Source organism: Homo sapiens, chromosome 7, assembly GCF_000001405.40.
Source record: "Homo sapiens chromosome 7, GRCh38.p14 Primary Assembly".
NCBI lineage: Eukaryota > Metazoa > Chordata > Mammalia > Primates > Hominidae > Homo > Homo sapiens.
This window is the reverse complement of record NC_000007.14, coordinates 131922987-131941189: the sequence shown is the minus strand read 5'-3', so window position 1 is coordinate 131941189 and position 18203 is coordinate 131922987. Positions and strand designations below refer to the sequence as shown.

General features: G+C 44.0%; 1 long non-coding RNA gene across 1 annotated transcript in view; it reads right to left on the bottom strand.

Moving 5' to 3' along the window:
* LOC101928782 (uncharacterized) overlaps positions 1 to 18203 on the bottom strand; it is a 38734-nt gene that overhangs the window by 7764 nt on the left and 12767 nt on the right. The window contains exons 2-5 of the long non-coding RNA NR_110836.1: positions 14795 to 14951; positions 12584 to 12785; positions 11693 to 11800; positions 8881 to 9067 (exon numbers count right to left, since the gene is read on the bottom strand). This is a non-coding gene — a long non-coding RNA (uncharacterized LOC101928782). The remainder of the gene's footprint in view (positions 1 to 8880; positions 9068 to 11692; positions 11801 to 12583; positions 12786 to 14794; positions 14952 to 18203) is intronic.

The window sequence follows — 18203 nt, the reverse complement described above, 5'->3', positions numbered from 1 at the left end:
ACACTGATCAAAGGTAAAACCAGTGTGTAGGTCTAAATTGCAATGCTTTCCCCTCTCTGGCACCTTCTCACTCCCTCTTTTCTCATCTCTCTCCCAGTTACTATCAAAGGAAAATTTATGAAGGGCTCGAGGCATTGGATATTCCCTGTATTTCAATCTAAGTTTTTGCAATCTCCAGTGAACAGCTCGGCTGCCTCTGCCTGTCAGGGAATTTAAATTGCAGATGGGATGGTGAACCCATGCCCAGAGCAGGAGCAGCCCCTCTAGTGAGCACCAGCATTGCTTAGCAACTAGGTTGGGAAGAACTTTAGGAAGCAGCAGAAAGTTCCACTCTGGAAAGTGCCCTTGAGCCAGGGCATCTCCTGGGAACAGGGAAGGAGTGTCCCGGAAAGAAGCAGCAGCCAGGTTAGAGATCTGCTCAATCCAGGGTCAGGGGTATGGCCAGGGGGTACAGTCAGCACCACTCTGCTCAGTCACCATTGAGTGTGTCCTTCACCGAGGGACAAAATGTCTGCCAGCCTCCATGTAGTTTTTGACATTCATTGTTTTGTAGAGAGCTTTCAAATGCATGGTATCTTCCCTATGTACCCCCTCACACCTCACACACCAACAAGAAGTAGAAATGGAAATGAATAATACCAACACCCTAACATACACACAACATGCACACACACACTTATATGGTTTGGCTGTGTCCCCACCCAAATCTCATCTTGAATTATAACTCCCACAATTCCCATGTGTCATGAGAGGCACCCAGTAGGAGGTAATTGAATCATGGGGCTGGGTCTTTCCCGTGCTGTTCTTGTGACAGTGAATGAGTCTCACACTATCTGATGGTTTTATAAAGGGGAGTTCCTCTGCACAGTTTCTCTTCTCTTGTCTGCCACCACGTGAGAGGTGCCTTTCGCCTTCTGCCATGATTGCGAGGCCTCCCCAGCCATGTGGAACTGTGAGTCCATTAAACTTCTTTCTTTTGTTAATTTCCCAGTCTTGGGTATGTCCTTATCAGCAGCGTGAAAACGGACTAATACACAGACATAATCACAAGCTGAGATAGGTAAGCATTTATGCTACTAAAAACAAAATGCCAGCAAATACCCACAGCAGGTCAAAAGGAACAAACCCATTAAATCTGCTCCTTTTCCCAGCTCAGTTCTTGGGACAGTGTTTCTTTAATTATGGCCTTCCCTCAATAAAGTGTTTGCTACATTTAGCATCCTAGTCTGAAAGGCAAGAATGTCCCAACTATGCTTGAGGCCATCATCAAGGCATATGCTTTTACAGTGGAGCTTGATCAACACGGGTTTGAACTGCATAAGACCGCTTAGACATGAATTTTCTTTCAACTCTGCCACCCCAAGACAGCAAGACCAACCCCTCCCATTCCTCTACATAAAGATAACAAGGATAAAAATGTTATGATGACGAATAGTAAATACATTTTCTCTTCCTCAAGGTTTTCTTAATCACAATATCTTTCCTCTAGCTTACTTTATTGTAAAAATACAGTATAAAGTACCTATAACATACAAAATGTGTTAATCAACTGTTTATGTCATTTTCCACGGTAGACTTTTAATAGTTAAGGTTTTAGGGAATTGAAAGTTATTCTTGGATATTCAACTATGTGGGAGTGTTCAGCACCCCTAAACCCCATATTGTTCAAGGGCCAATTGTACTTAAATAATTGGCTTGAAAATAAAAACATAAATAGTAGTTCAATGTGAATGTTTGGCAAAGTCTGCAGATTCTGTGTTCCATCAACTTAGAACTATGACGTACCTTACACACACTGTCACAGAAAAACACCCCCATGTCAGACACACCCAACTACTCCTGGCCTGTGTCTACAAGAAAGCTAATATATTTTCTGGGTTCCTGTTTTGGTTTGAATCATGTTTTACCTAAAAAAGATACATTGAAGTCCCAATCCCCAGTACAACAAAATGTGAATTTATTTGGAAATAGGGTCATTGCAGATGTAACTAATTAAGATAGGTCATACTGGAGTGTGCTAATACAGTTCTATTAGTCCATTCTCATGCTGCTAATAAAGACATACCCAAGACTGGGTAATTTATAAAGGGAAGAGATGCAATTGACTCACAGTTCCGCATGGCTAGGGAGACCTCACAATAATGTTGGAAGGCAAGGAGGAGCAAAACGATGTCTTACACGGCAGCAGGCAAGAGGGCATATGCAGGGGAACTCCCCTTGATAAAACCACCAGATCTCATGAGACTTATTCACTATCATGAGAACAGCATGGGAAAACCCTGCCCCCATGATTCAATTACTTCTCACCAGGTCCCTCCCACAACACTTGGGGATTATGGAAGCTACAATTCAAAATGAGATTTGGGTGGGGACACAGCCAAACCATATCAACTGTCATGTGAAGATACAGGGACACAAGGAGAACTCCATGTGAAGATGAAGGCAATATTGGAGTCATGCAGCTGCTGAAACACCAAGGATTAGCAGCAACCCAGAGCCTGGCCCTGCCAACACCATGACTTCAGACTTCTGGCCTCCAGAATTGTGAGACAACACAATTCTGCTGTTTTAGGCCACCCAGTTTCACCCTAGGAAACACAGTCCCTTTTTGTTATTCTGTGGGAGTGTCCGGGAAAGTCCTGTTTACAGACGGTGACAACTTGCTGTGGGATAGAAATGAGTCTGCAGAGGAGAGAGCTGGCCTTGCAGGTCGAGCTTCTGGACACAGATGCTCAGATGGAGTTTGAAGGATTGAAAATCTTTGTGACTTGGGGCAGAGAAATTGATATTGACTTTTTGGTTAAACTGTTATTTTTCATTAAAAGTTTGCTCGATAGACAGTTCATGGCCCTTGAGTGGAACGTGGGGAAGCAGTGCTTTTCGGAGGGCTCAGGCTGATGCAGGGCCCAACACCTTTGCCCTCATCTCGCTCAGATGCTGCCTGGTGCAGCTGTTAGCTTGTCCTGCCTCTGCAGGGGAAGGAACATACTCCAGGGCTGGGACCCACCTATCTCCCTCTCTGTATCCCATAGAGTCCTATGCACTTAATAGGTGCTCAGCAAATGTGTGGCAAATCAGATGCATGGGGCATAAAGTATAAAAATCATGATCTGCTCAAACACTCCTAGTGAAGCACCTGTTGAATTAGCACTCAAATCCATTCATTTCTGATTTATTATTACTGCTGTATTACCAATTCCCCATTTGACCTGGGAATAATCCTGTTTTTCCTTTTGAGTCATTCAGAGTATTGTATTTGCATAAAGCTAAACTACCTGACTTTATCTTCCTGGAAATTCCACGAGGTAGTGTGGTGGGTTTGATTACCCCACTGCTGAGCGACTGAGCCAAGTGTGGGATCTGAGCACTGACTGGCAAGGAAAGCTGTAAGGGGCGTGGGCTGAGAGTTGGAAGAAGATGGTTCTAGACTTGCTCACTGGATGTGCAAGTGACTTCACCCCACGACAGGGTATCAGAGGCACCAACCTATTAAACGAAGGCATCAACAGCTTAACCATTCTGCATAGGACTCTTTGACCTGCTGTCTCCCCACTGTGGTAAACAGCAAAGTGCCACTGAGATTCCCCATTTCTGTGGTCAGTAGAGACCCTCCCCTCCCCACCCCACAACTGACAGCTCCTTCAAGGTCAGCTTCAACTGAGCCACATCAGGGGTCTGAGAGGCACAGGCATCAGAGGCCTGGTCATTTTGTCCTGATGGGCAATTCACACTCCAAAGCTTCCAAGGTTTTTGAGGGCCTGTGTGACAGACTCAATTCAGCTTCTGCCTCTTCTCAGTCCTACTTCCTCCCCTTCCTTTCAGAGGTATTGATCCCTAACAACATCTCACAGACCAAACTCCATCCTAGCATCTGCATCCAGAAGGCACAACTTGTGACACCAAGTGCATTAGTCTGTTCTCACACTGCTAATAAAGACATACCTGAGACTGGTAATTTATAAATGAAAGAGGTTTAATGGACCCACAGTTCCACATGGCTGGGGAGGCCTCACAATCATGGTGGAAGGCAAAGGAGAAGGAAAGGCACGTCTTACATGGAGGCAGGCAAGAGAGCATGTACAGGGGAACTGCCCTTTATAAAACCTTTGGATCTCGTAAGACTTATTCACTATCACAAGAACAGCATGGGAAAGGGAAAACCCACCCCCATGATTCAAATACCTCCCTCCAGGTCTTTCCCACAATGTGTGGGGACTAAGGGAGCTACAATTCAAGATGACATTTGGGTGGGGACACAGCCAAACTATATCACCAAGTCTCTCCTCTGCAGACTTTTTCAAAAGTTGTGATTAAATAGATATAGCATAAAATGTACCATTGTAACCATTTTTAAGTATACAATTCATTAAGTGCATTCCCATTGTTCTGCAACCATCACCACCACCAACTCCAGAACTTTTTCATCTTCCCAAATGGAAATGACACACTCAGTAAACAACAACTCTCCATTCTCCCCTCCCCTGGTCCCTGGTAACTTCTTTTCTACTTTCTGTCTTCATTATTTTTCCCATTCTAGACATCTCATATAAGTGGAATCATAAGAGTGTTTGCCCTTTTGTGACTAGTTTATTTTTTCTAGCATGTCTTCAAGGTTCATCCATGTTGCAGCATGTGTCACTGTTTCCTTCTTTGTAAGGTCTGGATAACAATTCCACATGTGTACTTACCACATTTTGTTTATTCATTCCCCCGTCAGTGTATCACTGGACACTTGGGTTGCTTCTGCTTTTCAGCTATTGTAAATAATGCTGTGCAGACTTATTTCATCTCACGCCAATTACCTACCCCCTTATACAGATGGGCCTTCCTAGCCTCCTTCAGGATAACCAAGAGGTAAGAGGAAAGGCAGGCATATTCAGAGTTTCCCAATCATGTGATCAAGAGGGGCAATTGTTCCAGCCCCTCACTGCCTCAAAGTGATTAGCTGGGCAGTGTCCTAAGACCAGATGTAGGCAAACAGACAAGGCAATATTTACTTTCCAAGGATAAAAAAAATGTGCACAATATGCACAGGCGAATGACAGAAAAGCCCTGGGCCAATCCAGGAAAGACTCATGCTCTTGCATCCTTTCTGGGGTCTCTTTCCCCACAACACTATCTGTGATATTCCTTGGAGGGGTAAACAGAAGGAGAGCATCCCGCTCTGGGCTTTGCCTTGTCCTGCATCCCACTCTACACTAGGCAGGGAGAGCCCAGGAAGGTTGATATGTTACAAATAATAATCCCTGACCTGAAAAATAATGATTGAATGCAGTCATGCAACAGCAGCTTTTTGGATGCCTAATGTGTGCTAGGCTCAGTGCTAGGCATATGCCACCTAGTCATCGAGATCACCCTTCCAAGAGCTGAGAAACCCCCAGTGTAGGTCTCCAAATGTAATGGGGCAGTCCCAACCAAGCACAAGACAAGTGCCCAAGGGCGCTGTCCTCTCTGGGATGTGAACTCTGCTCCTGCTCTGAAGACCTGCACTCCTTGACTTTCAGTGCAGTTCCCCATCCATCCATGCATCCATCCATTCATTCCACAGTTGTCTTCTTATCTGCCAGATGCTGTTCTGAGGAAGCAAATGCCTGCCCAAGAATGGTGAAGAATGCTGCCCTAGTGGATAAAAAAAATGCACACATGCACACACGTGCACACACACACACAGAATGAGAAATATTGCTCAGTGATGAAGATGTGCCCTCATCTCAAAACTATAAAATAGAGCCTCTGACCAACTCCAGTAGGAGGAGAAGCACACCTCATGCCCTGCCCACACAGAGTCAACAGTCAGCAGGTGTGGGAGTGCTATCTCTGGCTGCTCCCTCTGTAGGAGACCTTGGGTCGATCAGCCATGAGTCAGTCCCTACCTTCAGAGGGCCCCTCAACTGCATCTCTTAACACCAAGTGGCCCCTAATGAAGACTCGAGGCCACCCATCCAAACAGGATCTTAGCTGTCAGTTGTCACTCAGGAAGGAAAAATTCCAAACTGAAGGTATGTGTGCTCTCCGTCTATGCCAGACAGCTGGCTGCCTGTCACAAGCCAGATACTATGTATAGGAATAATAAGGCCCCTCGAATTACCCATTACGTGCTGTCAGCAAATCACATGATTTCTTTTTTAATATTGCAAATATCTGGCCCCTGGAAAATGATGATGATGCTATCTCCACTCGGCTAGATGATAAACAGAGTTCCTGTGCCAGGGAGCCACCGCCCCTCCTCCAGGGTTGTCTCAGAAAAGGCAAGGAAGGATGGGGAGAGGCTCCTGCAGTTTTGAGCTTCAAGTCCCATCTTCATCTGGCACAAACGCCCCTACATTGCACCTCCCTCCAGCCAATGTTCCCTGGCTTTCCTGACAGCATGGCTGAGGCATAAATGCCACTTCCTCTGAGTGGCCTTCCCTGACTGCCCTACCTAAACAAGCACCTTGCACTGTTGGCCCTCCAAGCACCTGCTTTTTCATTCCCAGCATTACACCCGTTTGCTTGTTTAATGCATCACTTATTAAACAATAAGCTCTGTGAGGGTTGTCTTGTTAATTATTCAACCCATAGTGCCTAGCATATTGTAGGGCACATAGTTTGACCCAAGTAACCATTTGTTAAGTAACTTAATACTCAGTAAACACTGCTTAACGGATCCACACTTCCTAGAACAGTCAGTGCTTCTCAAACTTCATCGTGCATCAGATCACCTAGAGGGTGTGTTAAGCCACAGATTACTAGACCCCACCCCCAGTTTCTGGTGCAGTAGGTCTGGGTGGGGCCTGTGGATTTACATCTCCAACAACATCCAAGGTGATGACAATGTTTCTGGTTTGGGGGCCCCACTTTGAGAATCACATCCCTGAGAACTGCTCATAAATGCAGACACTCACTTCCTGCTTTCCTGCCTTCTGGGCGTATTTATCAGAGCTGTCCATGTGACTATAAGTGAAAGATGCAAAACCGGGTTCTTCAGATCCAGTTTGTCCAAACTGAATAAAAGTATTCTTATCCCTAATAGTGGGAAGGTAACTTGAGGCCAGTAGATGCAAAGTGAGGTGAGTTGCTCAGCAAGTCCTGGCAGATACAGCACAGAACTCTACGTACCAGATACACAGTTTCCTGTTCCAATCACTGAGCTGCACTTTTCTGACACCAACTGTAGAAATGAGTTGGCTTCCAAGTGGCTTATTAGAGAACAAATTATTCCCTGTTTTTCTACTCTTTCCATGTGAGTTAATCTGCAAGTCTAAAGTCCAAGCAGGTGCCAGAGTTATTCCTGCAACTGGCACCAAATTGCATTCAGAAAGCACAATTAGCACTTCGTTAATGTGCCTCAGAATGGGATAATCTACATTTTACCCAAAGGCGGCCTCCATCCCCACTGCATTTTACCCTAATGTGCCAACATACAGGTTGCCTGGCTAACGGGGCCTTTGCACATCCCACCATTTGTCAGGCGACAGTCCTTACCTCTTCAGTGGAGCAGAGGAGGAAGGACCCACCCTCTGCAGTTCAGGATCCAAGAAGCACTCTCTATTCATATTTCTTCTTCTTCTTCTTCTTCTTCTTCTTCTTCTTCTTCTTCTTCTTCTTCTTCTTCTTCTTCTTTCTTCTTCTTCTTCTTCCTCTTCCTCTTCTTCTTCTTCTTCCTCTTCTTCTTCTTCTTCTTTCTTCTTCTTCCTCTTCTTTCTTCTTCTTCTTCTTCCTCTTCTTCTTCTTCCTCTGCTTCTTTTCCTCCTCCTCTTCCCCCTCCTCCTCCTTCTCCTCCTCCTCCTTCTTCTTCCTCTTTTTCCTCCTCCTCCTCTTTCTTCTCCTTTCTCTTCCTCTTCCCCTTCCTTCTTCCTTCCTTCTTTCCTTCCTTCCTTCCTTCCTATTCCTTCCCTGCTTAAACTATTCAATCCGCAAACCATTAGGGAGACCTAGAAGAGCAGGCACCTGTGCCAGAGCAGAGGGGACATGCAGTGGCCCACGGAGGTGTTGGAGACCAACAGTATATCGAGGCTGAGGCTGTGACAGAGGCATGAGAGGGTGGCCAGGGCTAAACCCGGCATGGTGTGTGGGGCTCCACGGAGATGAGGAGCTTGGGCAGCATGAGACAATGAGCATGGAGTGTGGAGACCTGAGGAGTGAGGAGGGCTTCTGCCTTAGGGCAGAGGACAGCCCAGCACAGGCTAGAGATAAAATTGCATGAGGAGGGCATCCATGCCAGGAAGGAGTGATGGCAGCAATGGAAGACTGGTTACCCATAGAGAGATTTATCAATTAAGGAAATATGTTCAAGATGACTAGAGCCAGGATTCCGGCTGGCAGAGAGGGGAGCCACAAATATAAAAAGGGAAAAAAAAAAAACCTAAAGTGAATCCTGAGGTGTTAGAATTTATAGTATATATGTGAACTTGGGATTTTTAATAAATAGATAAATAAATATGTAAATATGAATGCAACTTTATGTGTACACATAGCTATATGTAAACATACATGTATATATTTCTTCACTCTGTCCCCCAAGAGGGCCTGAGGGACACTCCAACACCAGTGAGCACACCTAACCTCCTGGATCTGGGTTTCTAAATAGCATTCTTCTCTGCAAGGAACGAGGACTCTCCAGGCTGGTGCAGGAAGTTATGAGATGAGCCTGGAAAGTCTCGTTGTGCCAGAAGTAAGGACGTGCTCAAAGTGTGAAGGGAAGATGAGAAAAGCACACAGAAGCCAGCCTGGAGGGACTCCTACTGGCCAACTCAGAGGTAAACAGAGCAAAAATAAATAAATAATGAAGATCATAGGTTGCAATTCATTGAACAAGATATAAAACCCTGAGCTCATACCGATAAAAATAGATAAGTGAACAAGGCTGGTCTCCAAATATCTCCACACATGATTACTTACAAAGAAGAAAAGAGTAGCTTGATGGTGGAGACGGCTGGCAGACACTACGGCAAGCAAGTGATCAAAGTCAGCATCCTTCATTCCAAGACAAAACAGAATCGTGTGCCGCCTGATAAGATGCGATGAGAAGTTTCTGTGAAACTCTTGCCAAAGATGTATGGTCTGAAATTAATCATGAGGAAATGTCCTACAAAGACAAAGTGAGGGGCATGCATCAAAACAGTTGGCCTGTAGTCTTCAAAAGCATCCAGATCCCAAGCATTAGGGAAAGACTGGGGAACTATTCCAGATGGAAGGACACCATAGAGACAAAACAAGTAAATACAGTGTGGGATCTTGGACTGGATCCTTTTGCTATAAAGATTATTCCTGGGGCAACTGGCACAACTTAAATGGGGGCTGGGGATTCAATCAGTTCCTTTCCTGCCTTTGATGGTTGTCCTCCGGTCACCTAAAAGCATGTCTTTGTTGATAGGATACATAAACTAAAGTATTCATGGGTGATCAACATCACTTCAGCAACATACTCTGAAATAGTTCTGGAAAAAGAACGATGTTTTGCTGTACTTACAGCTCGTCTTTATGAATGAGATTGTTTCAACAACACCATTTAAGAAGCTATCACTGTGATGACCAGCAAAAGGCTTCAGTCTCCTTCAGCCCACATTATCTGGCCATGCTTGCAATGAGCTCAGTCTGCTTAGAGATGCTGAGTGAGTCAGCCTCACACCTCGGTGCTGAGGTCATCACAATCGTGCCTGCCATCTAAAATATCCTGCATGGAAGAGGGAATTGAGGGGGAGACAGGTGGACTCCATGCCCTTCTGGAGCCCTGCATTGATTTCAGGAAGGATTCAGGCCACAAGAATTGGGAAGATAGATGTCTCCATCATGTGGGCATTGGGTCTGTGGTCACAAGAGCAATGTCCCGACTTCTGGTCTCATGTCTGTCCCTCGCAGGGGCTCTGCTCTCAGGAGTATACCCTGGGAAGCTTCTGCCTCCTCCTCTTCCATGTGAGGAAGGCTGGTAGAGCAGGGCTGTCTATCCTGGAGCATGGGTTGAAATAAAGGGCATGTTCCTCTCAGGGCTTGGAGCTCCTGCCTAGGACAAGAAGCCCTTCCAAGGACAAGAAGCCTCTTCCCGTGTAGTTCTGAGTCTACATCTGTCACCATAGTGCAAACACAGCAAAGAAAGACTCATGTGCACCCAGGAAAGTGTGGCAAGGGTAGTGAAGGATCTGAAAACCATGTCATGAGAAGTGAAATCAGGTGAGATGGAGCATCTGTCTTCACGTATGTGAGGGGGTGGCTCATGGGAGACACTAGACCTATGTTATATAGCTCCAGATTACAAACTAAAACCAACAGTGGGCAATGGAAGGAAGTGTAGTTCAGCCCCACATAAGGATGGAACTTTCCAACACTGGCTCTGTCCAAAACGTCCCAGGTAGCCCGCACAGCCTGAGACCCTAGAAGTGAGCAAGCAAACCCTGAAAGACCACCAGCAAGGGCTGCTGCAACAATGTTCAGACCAGACTATCCTGATGTAGGTCAACTTCAGCATCTAGGAAAAGGAGCCAGAAATTCAGTGAGCAGAGCAAAAATGGAGAATGGCTTTGCTTATGCCAACAGGATGGCCCAACAAACCAGCACAGCCTCTGTCTCCCCAGCAACACACCGTCTGCCCCTCAGCCCAACATTTCCAACATCCAATGTGAATAAGTGTCAAATGCCATGGTCAGGGTGTCTAAGAAATGCCCAGAACTTCATGGTACCTTGAATACCTTACATATGGGACTCAGTGGTCCCAGATTCCTGTGCCTCACCATCAGCACCACAGAGGTTGCTCCTAAGTCCAGCTTGACCACAGATCGACCTGTTTATAGCAAAAGGACCCAGTCCAAAATCCTCTGGCCTCTTGAAAAGGTGAGATGGGACATCTGCATGATGAACCCTTAGCCTCATCCTTCCATCATCAGTTTCCCTTACTTCTACCCTTGACCCTCCATCCCTTCCACATCATACAGGTGAGCAAGGAGCAGGCCTAAGTGGAACAGAAAAGCCGTTCTCTCCTTCTCTCCTTCCCACTTCACCAAGAGTTGGTGATGCAGACAAAATGTCATCTCAGCCCCTGGAGAGAAACAGTAAGGTGCTGAGTCTAGTTATCATCACGATTCACTTGGAGGCAAGGATAAAGCCAACACCGAATGCTTTAGATTTTTCCCTATGGAAAGTTGTAATCCACTGAAGGGTCTGTCATATACATATATACGGTATGGTTTCAAATTTGCATTCATTGTTCCCACTGAACTTAATAAAAGAAGGAGACATGGTGATTTTAAGACAGAGAAGGGGGCTTTCCTGTAGCACATGGAGAAGATGTTAGAGCTTATTGAGTCATCATATGGGATACATTATTCCCCAGGGGCCTGAATAAAGAATCAGAGCAGTGAGATCTTATTCAGCCTTTGATGTTTCAATTTCCCAAGGAACATTCTGCCTGTTGAATTTGCAGCTTGGATGCAATGTTAAGCAGACCCATTGGCCAACCCCTCCCATCTCCACACTCCCACTAAGAGTTTTAAGGAAGATCAGTTAAGATTTATTACACATTTTTATTATTCAACATATATCCCACTCAGATCCATTTGCACAAGTCACTTTTACAGAACTCATGTATTCACATCACATATTGTTAGCAACTTCATTTTAGTGTCTCAAAGTTTACCTAGTAGAAAAGTCCAAAGTTGAGAACAACTGACAACCAGATGTAGAAATATATATATTTTTTATTTCTGGAAACTCTGCTTACTTTTCTTAGCTGTTGTTTCTGCTGCACTGCATGTTGCATGGTACTGCTCACTGATAACCCCTCTCTGTGGCATCATCTGCCCATGGTGGAAAAGCCAGCAAACCTGACCTGGGTAAAAGCAGGCACAAGCAGACAGTGTGCTGGACTGGCCGTCCCAAGACCTGGCATCCAAGTTGGCTCTGCTGCTAACTCACTAGGAACCTTGGGAAAATCCACTTCAACCCCTCTGTCCCAGAAATCCGATCTGTTCTATTTATTTTCCAGAGTAATGGGGAAGAAATATCAAGGTGATGGATGTGAAAGTGCTCAGAAAAATAGGAAGTGCCTTCAACCTGTAAAGTTAAGCCTCTGTCATCAGGATCAGGTTTAGAAAACGAGGTCTGAACACAGGGCTGTAAAGCAGACAGGTTCTGAGACACGCCTAGCTCAAATCCTCATTTTACAGGTGAGAGCACCATGGGATACATGTCACAGCTACTCACAGGACAGCGGCAGGGCCAGTCAGGTTTGGATGGGACACTAGAAGCCCCAACACATATTCAGATGCCCACCCAGTGGCCATGTAGCTGCCACTTGATTATCTTTGCAGACGAGGAGCTCACCTCCTCAAAGGCAGCCCCTTTCACCTTTGAAAGGCTTAGGTGCTTAGGAGACTTTACCAAAACATGAGGAAGAGGAAGAAATTATGGTGGCCTTTTCTCTTCCAATCATTGGTGTCACTGATGCTAAAACAGCCCCACAGACTGCATCTACCTCCTTTCCTATGCAATGTGCATTGAGTCCACCTGTGTTCCCTATGACACTTTTCTTCTCCAGCCTGTGCATCCCTACTTTCTTGGTTCCCACCTCACTTCAGTCTGTGTCATCCTGGTTACCCTGCAATCAACATACTTGAATTTGTCCAGAACTGTCCCCCAGCTCCTCTTCCAGGTGGCCATCTTGTCTTTGGCTGTTGACAATCTGGATGTTCAGGAACTCACCTGTCACCTTCCTTTTGAGCAGCTACTGTCCACAGCTCTTTAATTCCACAGTAAGCCTGGGTGTCAGGCCTGGACAAGGAGAACTCCACCTGTTCCTCATACATGGTTGATACCTAGCAGAAGACAACGACCTTGGAACGACCCAGAAAGGTGGACCCAGAGTCTGAGGCTTGGCTGGGGTGCTGGTCATGGGCCCCCACTCCAGTAAGGAAGCCCCCTACACGTGTAGAAGGCATAAAGAGAGGCCTGTTGCCATGGTGACTGTCAGGCAGCCTACCCTGCCTGAAGCCTGTGAGGAAAAGGCTCTGGGAAGGATCGTAGTGAGATGCAGGAATTCACCCACAACCACTACCAACCTTCCAGGGGCATTTACTGAATCAAGCAGTGCCTGGGCTATTTCACTTGTGGTCCAGAGAGGATGATGGGGCAGGGCTGGCGTAATCCATTCCACAGGAGGGAAGGAGGCCTTCAAGGGCGTGTGTGTGTGTATGTGCACCTGTGCGTGTGTGTGTGCATGTTTGTGTGCATGTGTGTGTGCTTGTGTGTGCATGTGTGTGCACCTGTGCCTGTGTGTGTGTGTGCATATGTGTGTTGACACACTGGACTGACACAGCATTGTTTTCTCCTTGGGCAAAGCCTCTTTCTTCAGGCGCCACTGTGACGTGAAGCATCTTGGAGCAGCTGGGGGGATATGAGTGAGGCTGAGGGAGTCATTCCTCCTCCGTGCCCCCAGAGCGCTCTGCCCACGCCTCCATTAGCACTAATTACACTGTGCTCTAATTCTCTGTTTACACGTCTGGCTCTCCCACCAGAACAGCTCCAGTGCAGGGGCTGCATCTTGTTTTTATATCCCTGATTCCTAGGACCATTTTTGACATATAGTAGGTGTTCATTAAGGGTTGCCTGAATTAACAAATGAATCTCTGCTAAGGACAGAATCAGAGTGTTCTGACTTAAAATGGCAGCATGCAAGATTGAGGTTCAAATCTCACAACAGCTTCGTGCAGCTCCTGCCATGTATAGGATACTGTGCTGGGCATACGGCCTCATCTTTAGGGACATCACACTCAGTGACAGGGACAAGGCAGAGGGCCATCATATTTGTAGGCACAAATACCCAATTACCCAACATATTTGTAGGCTTATTACAAATTGTCTTTATTAACCAGTCATTCCTTCATAGGACTGTAGAAAGCCTTTCTTTGTTGACCTGTTTCCTGTCACTGTCAATACTTGAATGTAATGACAATGTATCTCTTTTAAAAGATTTCATAATTCAAAATTTTCACTAATTCAGACCAAGCTTCCACAAATTAGTCTGAATTAAAGAAGTTTGATTGTACTAGGTTGACCCATATGAAATTGGTGCTATTCGACCATTTCTGACCTAGAAAAATGACAGTTTTATATGGTTCAATCTAACACTTTTCTTTTCTGGTGCCCCTTTCCAAGGAACTAAAAGCATTCTTTATTTCCATGCTTTCCTCCTATGGTATTTTAAAGATAAAAGTAGAAGAGTGGGATTGACTGCCACAGCCCCCAACCACCTGCCCCTCAGTTCACAAGTACAGAAACTGCAGACCTGGTGGGCACGAACTTAGCAGCCAGAGATGGGTGATGAGTACCAGGCAATGACAGAGCTGTGAGAGGAACCCAGAAGACCTACCACCAGGGTGCCTGCTTGATAGGTTACCAAGGAAAGGCCTGGCCTTATTTCATGTTTATTTAGTTGTTTCTAATTTACATACAGTCCAACTACTCTTTTTGATGCATAGGTTTATGCATTTTGACAAACGCATATACTTGTGTAACTGCAATGAAGACAGAAAACAGTTCCATCATTGGTCAGTTTGTTGTTTGTTTGTTGTTTTAAATAATTGCTTTTATCTTATCCGGTTCCTTTTTTATTTCATATCCACGTTAGTGGAGACATGCAACTGAAAACTGAGTCCATTTCTTGTAATAGCCTCATCAGATTTATCCAGCCTTTAAGTCCTATTTGACATTTCAAAGCAAGAGAAGAAGGGACAGGAAGCAGTAGGATGAGATTTGGCACCAAGTTACATTGAGAGAAGAGCAGTGTTTTGCTCTAGATTCCCCATCTCTGATCAGAAGGACATACCAGCCAGGGAGGGAAGCCTGTGAGGATAAACTTTGCCATGCATCCCAGGTGCACTCCTGAAGAATTATGCCTAATTCCAATTCTATCAAAGAGTCTATCAATCTCTGTTTCTGCTGGTCACCAAACGTTGCCTCCTCTCCTCCCACTCATGCATTCCCTAGAGTTTCAAGTAAGCAGAAAATTGATCAAATCACTTGTAAATCAACTTAAATATAATGGACAAATTACTATTATTTAGGAACTTTTTAAAATGTTTTTATATGAATAAATATCTTTCCGAAAGAATGGTTTTAAACCATAATGGATGGAATTTGTACATTCACATCAGGGTTGCTCTTTGAAACATTTCTGTGGGATGTTGTTGGCTTATTCCAAGTTTGCTGCTATTACCCAAAACATTGTTTGAACTTTGCTTCTGAAACTGCCTCCACAATCAGTATACAAGACATACAAGAAAACCAGCCTCATTTTTCAAGTCACATATATTTCCATCAAGTATATTTTCCTCTTCCAGGATACTTGTGAGAGTTGCTCTCCACTGATTTTCATTAACCTAATGTCCAACCTTAAGGTCAGGAATAGAGTAGTCAAGCATCATTAATTTGGAATCCACTATTTTGGAATAAGAAATAGTTCAGACAAGTAAACTTCAACCATACAGTTGCTTTCTTTGAAAGAAGGATTTGTCAAGCAAACTAATCATATATGCAAATCAAAAGGCAACTATTTAAAGCTACTCAAAAGAATAAACTGATTAAGCATTCTCAAGTACATACACCCTATATTAAAGCATCTTTACCCAACATATTTGTAGGCTCATTACAAATTGTCTATTAACCAGTCGTTCCCTCATGGGACTGTAGAAAGCCTTTCTTTGTTGACCTGTTTCCTGTCACTGTCAATACTTGAATGCAATGACATTGTATCTCTTTTAAAAGATTTCATAATTCAAACTTTTCACTAATTCAGACCAAGCTTCCACAAATTAGTCTGAATTAAAGAAGTTTGGCTGTACTAGGTTGACCCATATGAAATTGGTGCTATGCAACCATTTTTTACCTAAAAAATGACAATTTTATATGGTTCAATCTAATACATTTCTTTTCTGGTGCCCCTTTCCAAGGAACTAAAAGCATTCTTTATTCCCATGCTTTCCTCCTATGGTATTTTAAAAATAAAAGCAGAAGAGTGGGATTGACTGCCACAGCCCCCAACCACCTGCCCCTCAGTTCACAAGTACAGAAACTGGGAGATTTAACAGAAAGAAGAAAATCATTCAAAACACAACTTCTGCTTTCTTTGCTGTACAGAGCTTTTACATTCGATGTGGTCCTACCTGCTTACTTTCGTTTTTGTTGCCTGAGCTTTTGGTGTCATTTCCATATTATCATTGCCAAGAACTATGTCACAAAGCTTTCCTGTATGTGTTCTAGGAGTTTTAGGGTTTCAGGTTTCATGTTTAAGTCTTTAATCCATTTTGAGTTGATATTTATGTATGGTGTAAGATAAGGGTCCAATTTCATTCCCTTGCGTATGGATATCCTGTTTTCCCAATACCATTTATTCAAGAGACTATCCTTTCCCCCTTGTGTGACCTTCGCACCCTTGTGGAAAATCACTTGACCATATATATGTGGATTTATTTCTGGGCTCTCTGTTCTGTTCCATTGGTCTAGATGTCTGTCTTTATGCAAGTACAATACTGTTTTTATTACGCAGCTTTGTAATATATTTTGAAATCAGGAAGTATGATGCCTTCAATTTTGTTCTCCTTTCTCAAGATTAGTTTGGCTATTCATGGTCTTTTGTGGTTTTACATGAATTGTAGAATTTTGCCTCCATTTCTGAAAAAAATTTATTGGAATTTTTTATAGGTATTTGCATTGAATATGTAGATTGATTTGTGCAGTAGAAACATTTTAACAATATTAAATCTTTCAATCCATGAACATAGGTCTTTCTTGGTTGTGTCTTCTTTACCCTCTTTGTCACTATTTTAGAGTTTTCAATAGACAAGCCTTTCATCTCTTTAATGAAATTTATACCTAAGGCCGGGTGTGGTGGCTCATGCCTATAATCCCAGCATTTTGGGAGGCCAAGGCGGGCAGATCACCTGAGGTCAGGTGTTTGAGACCAGCCTGGCTAACATGGTGAAACCCCGTCTCCACTAAAAATACAGAAAAGTAGCTGAGAGTGGTAGTGTGCACCTGTAATCCCAGCTACTCGGGGGAGGGGGGCGGGGGGCTGAGACAGAAGAATTGCTAGAACCCAGGAGGCAGAGGTTGTGGTGAGCCAAGATCTCACCACTGCACTCCAGCCTGCGTGACAGAGTGAGACTCTGTCGCAAAAAAAAAAAAAAAAAAAAAAAAAAAAAAAAAAAATATATATATATATATATATATATATATATATACCTAAGCATTTTATTCCTTTTGGAGCTATTGTAGGTAGAATTGTTTTCCTAATTTCCTTTTCAGATAGTTCATTGTTAATGTATAGAAATGCAACAATCAACACAGTAAAAAGGCAACCCACGAAATGGGAGAAAATATTTGCAAACCATATCTCTGATATAGGGTTAATCTCCAAAATATATTAGGAACTCCTACAATTCAATCACTCAAAAAAACTAACAATACAATTTTTAAAAGGCTAAGGACTTGGATAGACATTCCTCCAAAAAAAACATACAAATCGTCAACAGATACATGAAAAATACTCAACTTTACCAATGACCGGTGAAATGCAAATCAAAACTACAATGAGACATCTATCTCCTCATATTTATCAGAATGGCTATTGTCTGAAAATAAAGATAAAAAAATACACAGTGCTAGTGAAAATGTAAGAGAATGTGAAACCCTTGCACACTTATTGGTGGGAATGCAAAATGGTACAACCACTACGAAGAACAGTATGGGGGTTCCTCACGAAATCAAAAATAAACTACTATATGGCTTAGCAATCCCACTTCTGATTATCTATTGAAAAGAATTAAAATCAAAATCTCAGCCGGGTGGGGTGGCTCACGCCTGTAATCCCAGCACTTTGGGAGGCCGAGGTGCACCGATCACGAGGTCTTGAGTTCGTGACCAGCCTGACCAACATGGTGAAACGCCGTCTCTACTAAAAATATAAACATTAGCTGGACATGGTGGCACATGCCTGTAGTCCCAGGTACTTGGGAGGCTGAGGCAGGAGAATTGCTTGAACCCGGGAGGTGGAGGTTGCAATGAGGCAAGATTGCGTCATCGTACTCCAGCCTGGGTGGCAAAGCGAGACTCTGTCTCAAAAAAAAAAAAAATAAAATAAAATCTCAAAGAGGTATTAGCACTCTCATGCTCATTATAGCATTATTCTCAATAATCAAGTTGTGGAAACAGCCTAAATGTCCATCTACAGATAAATG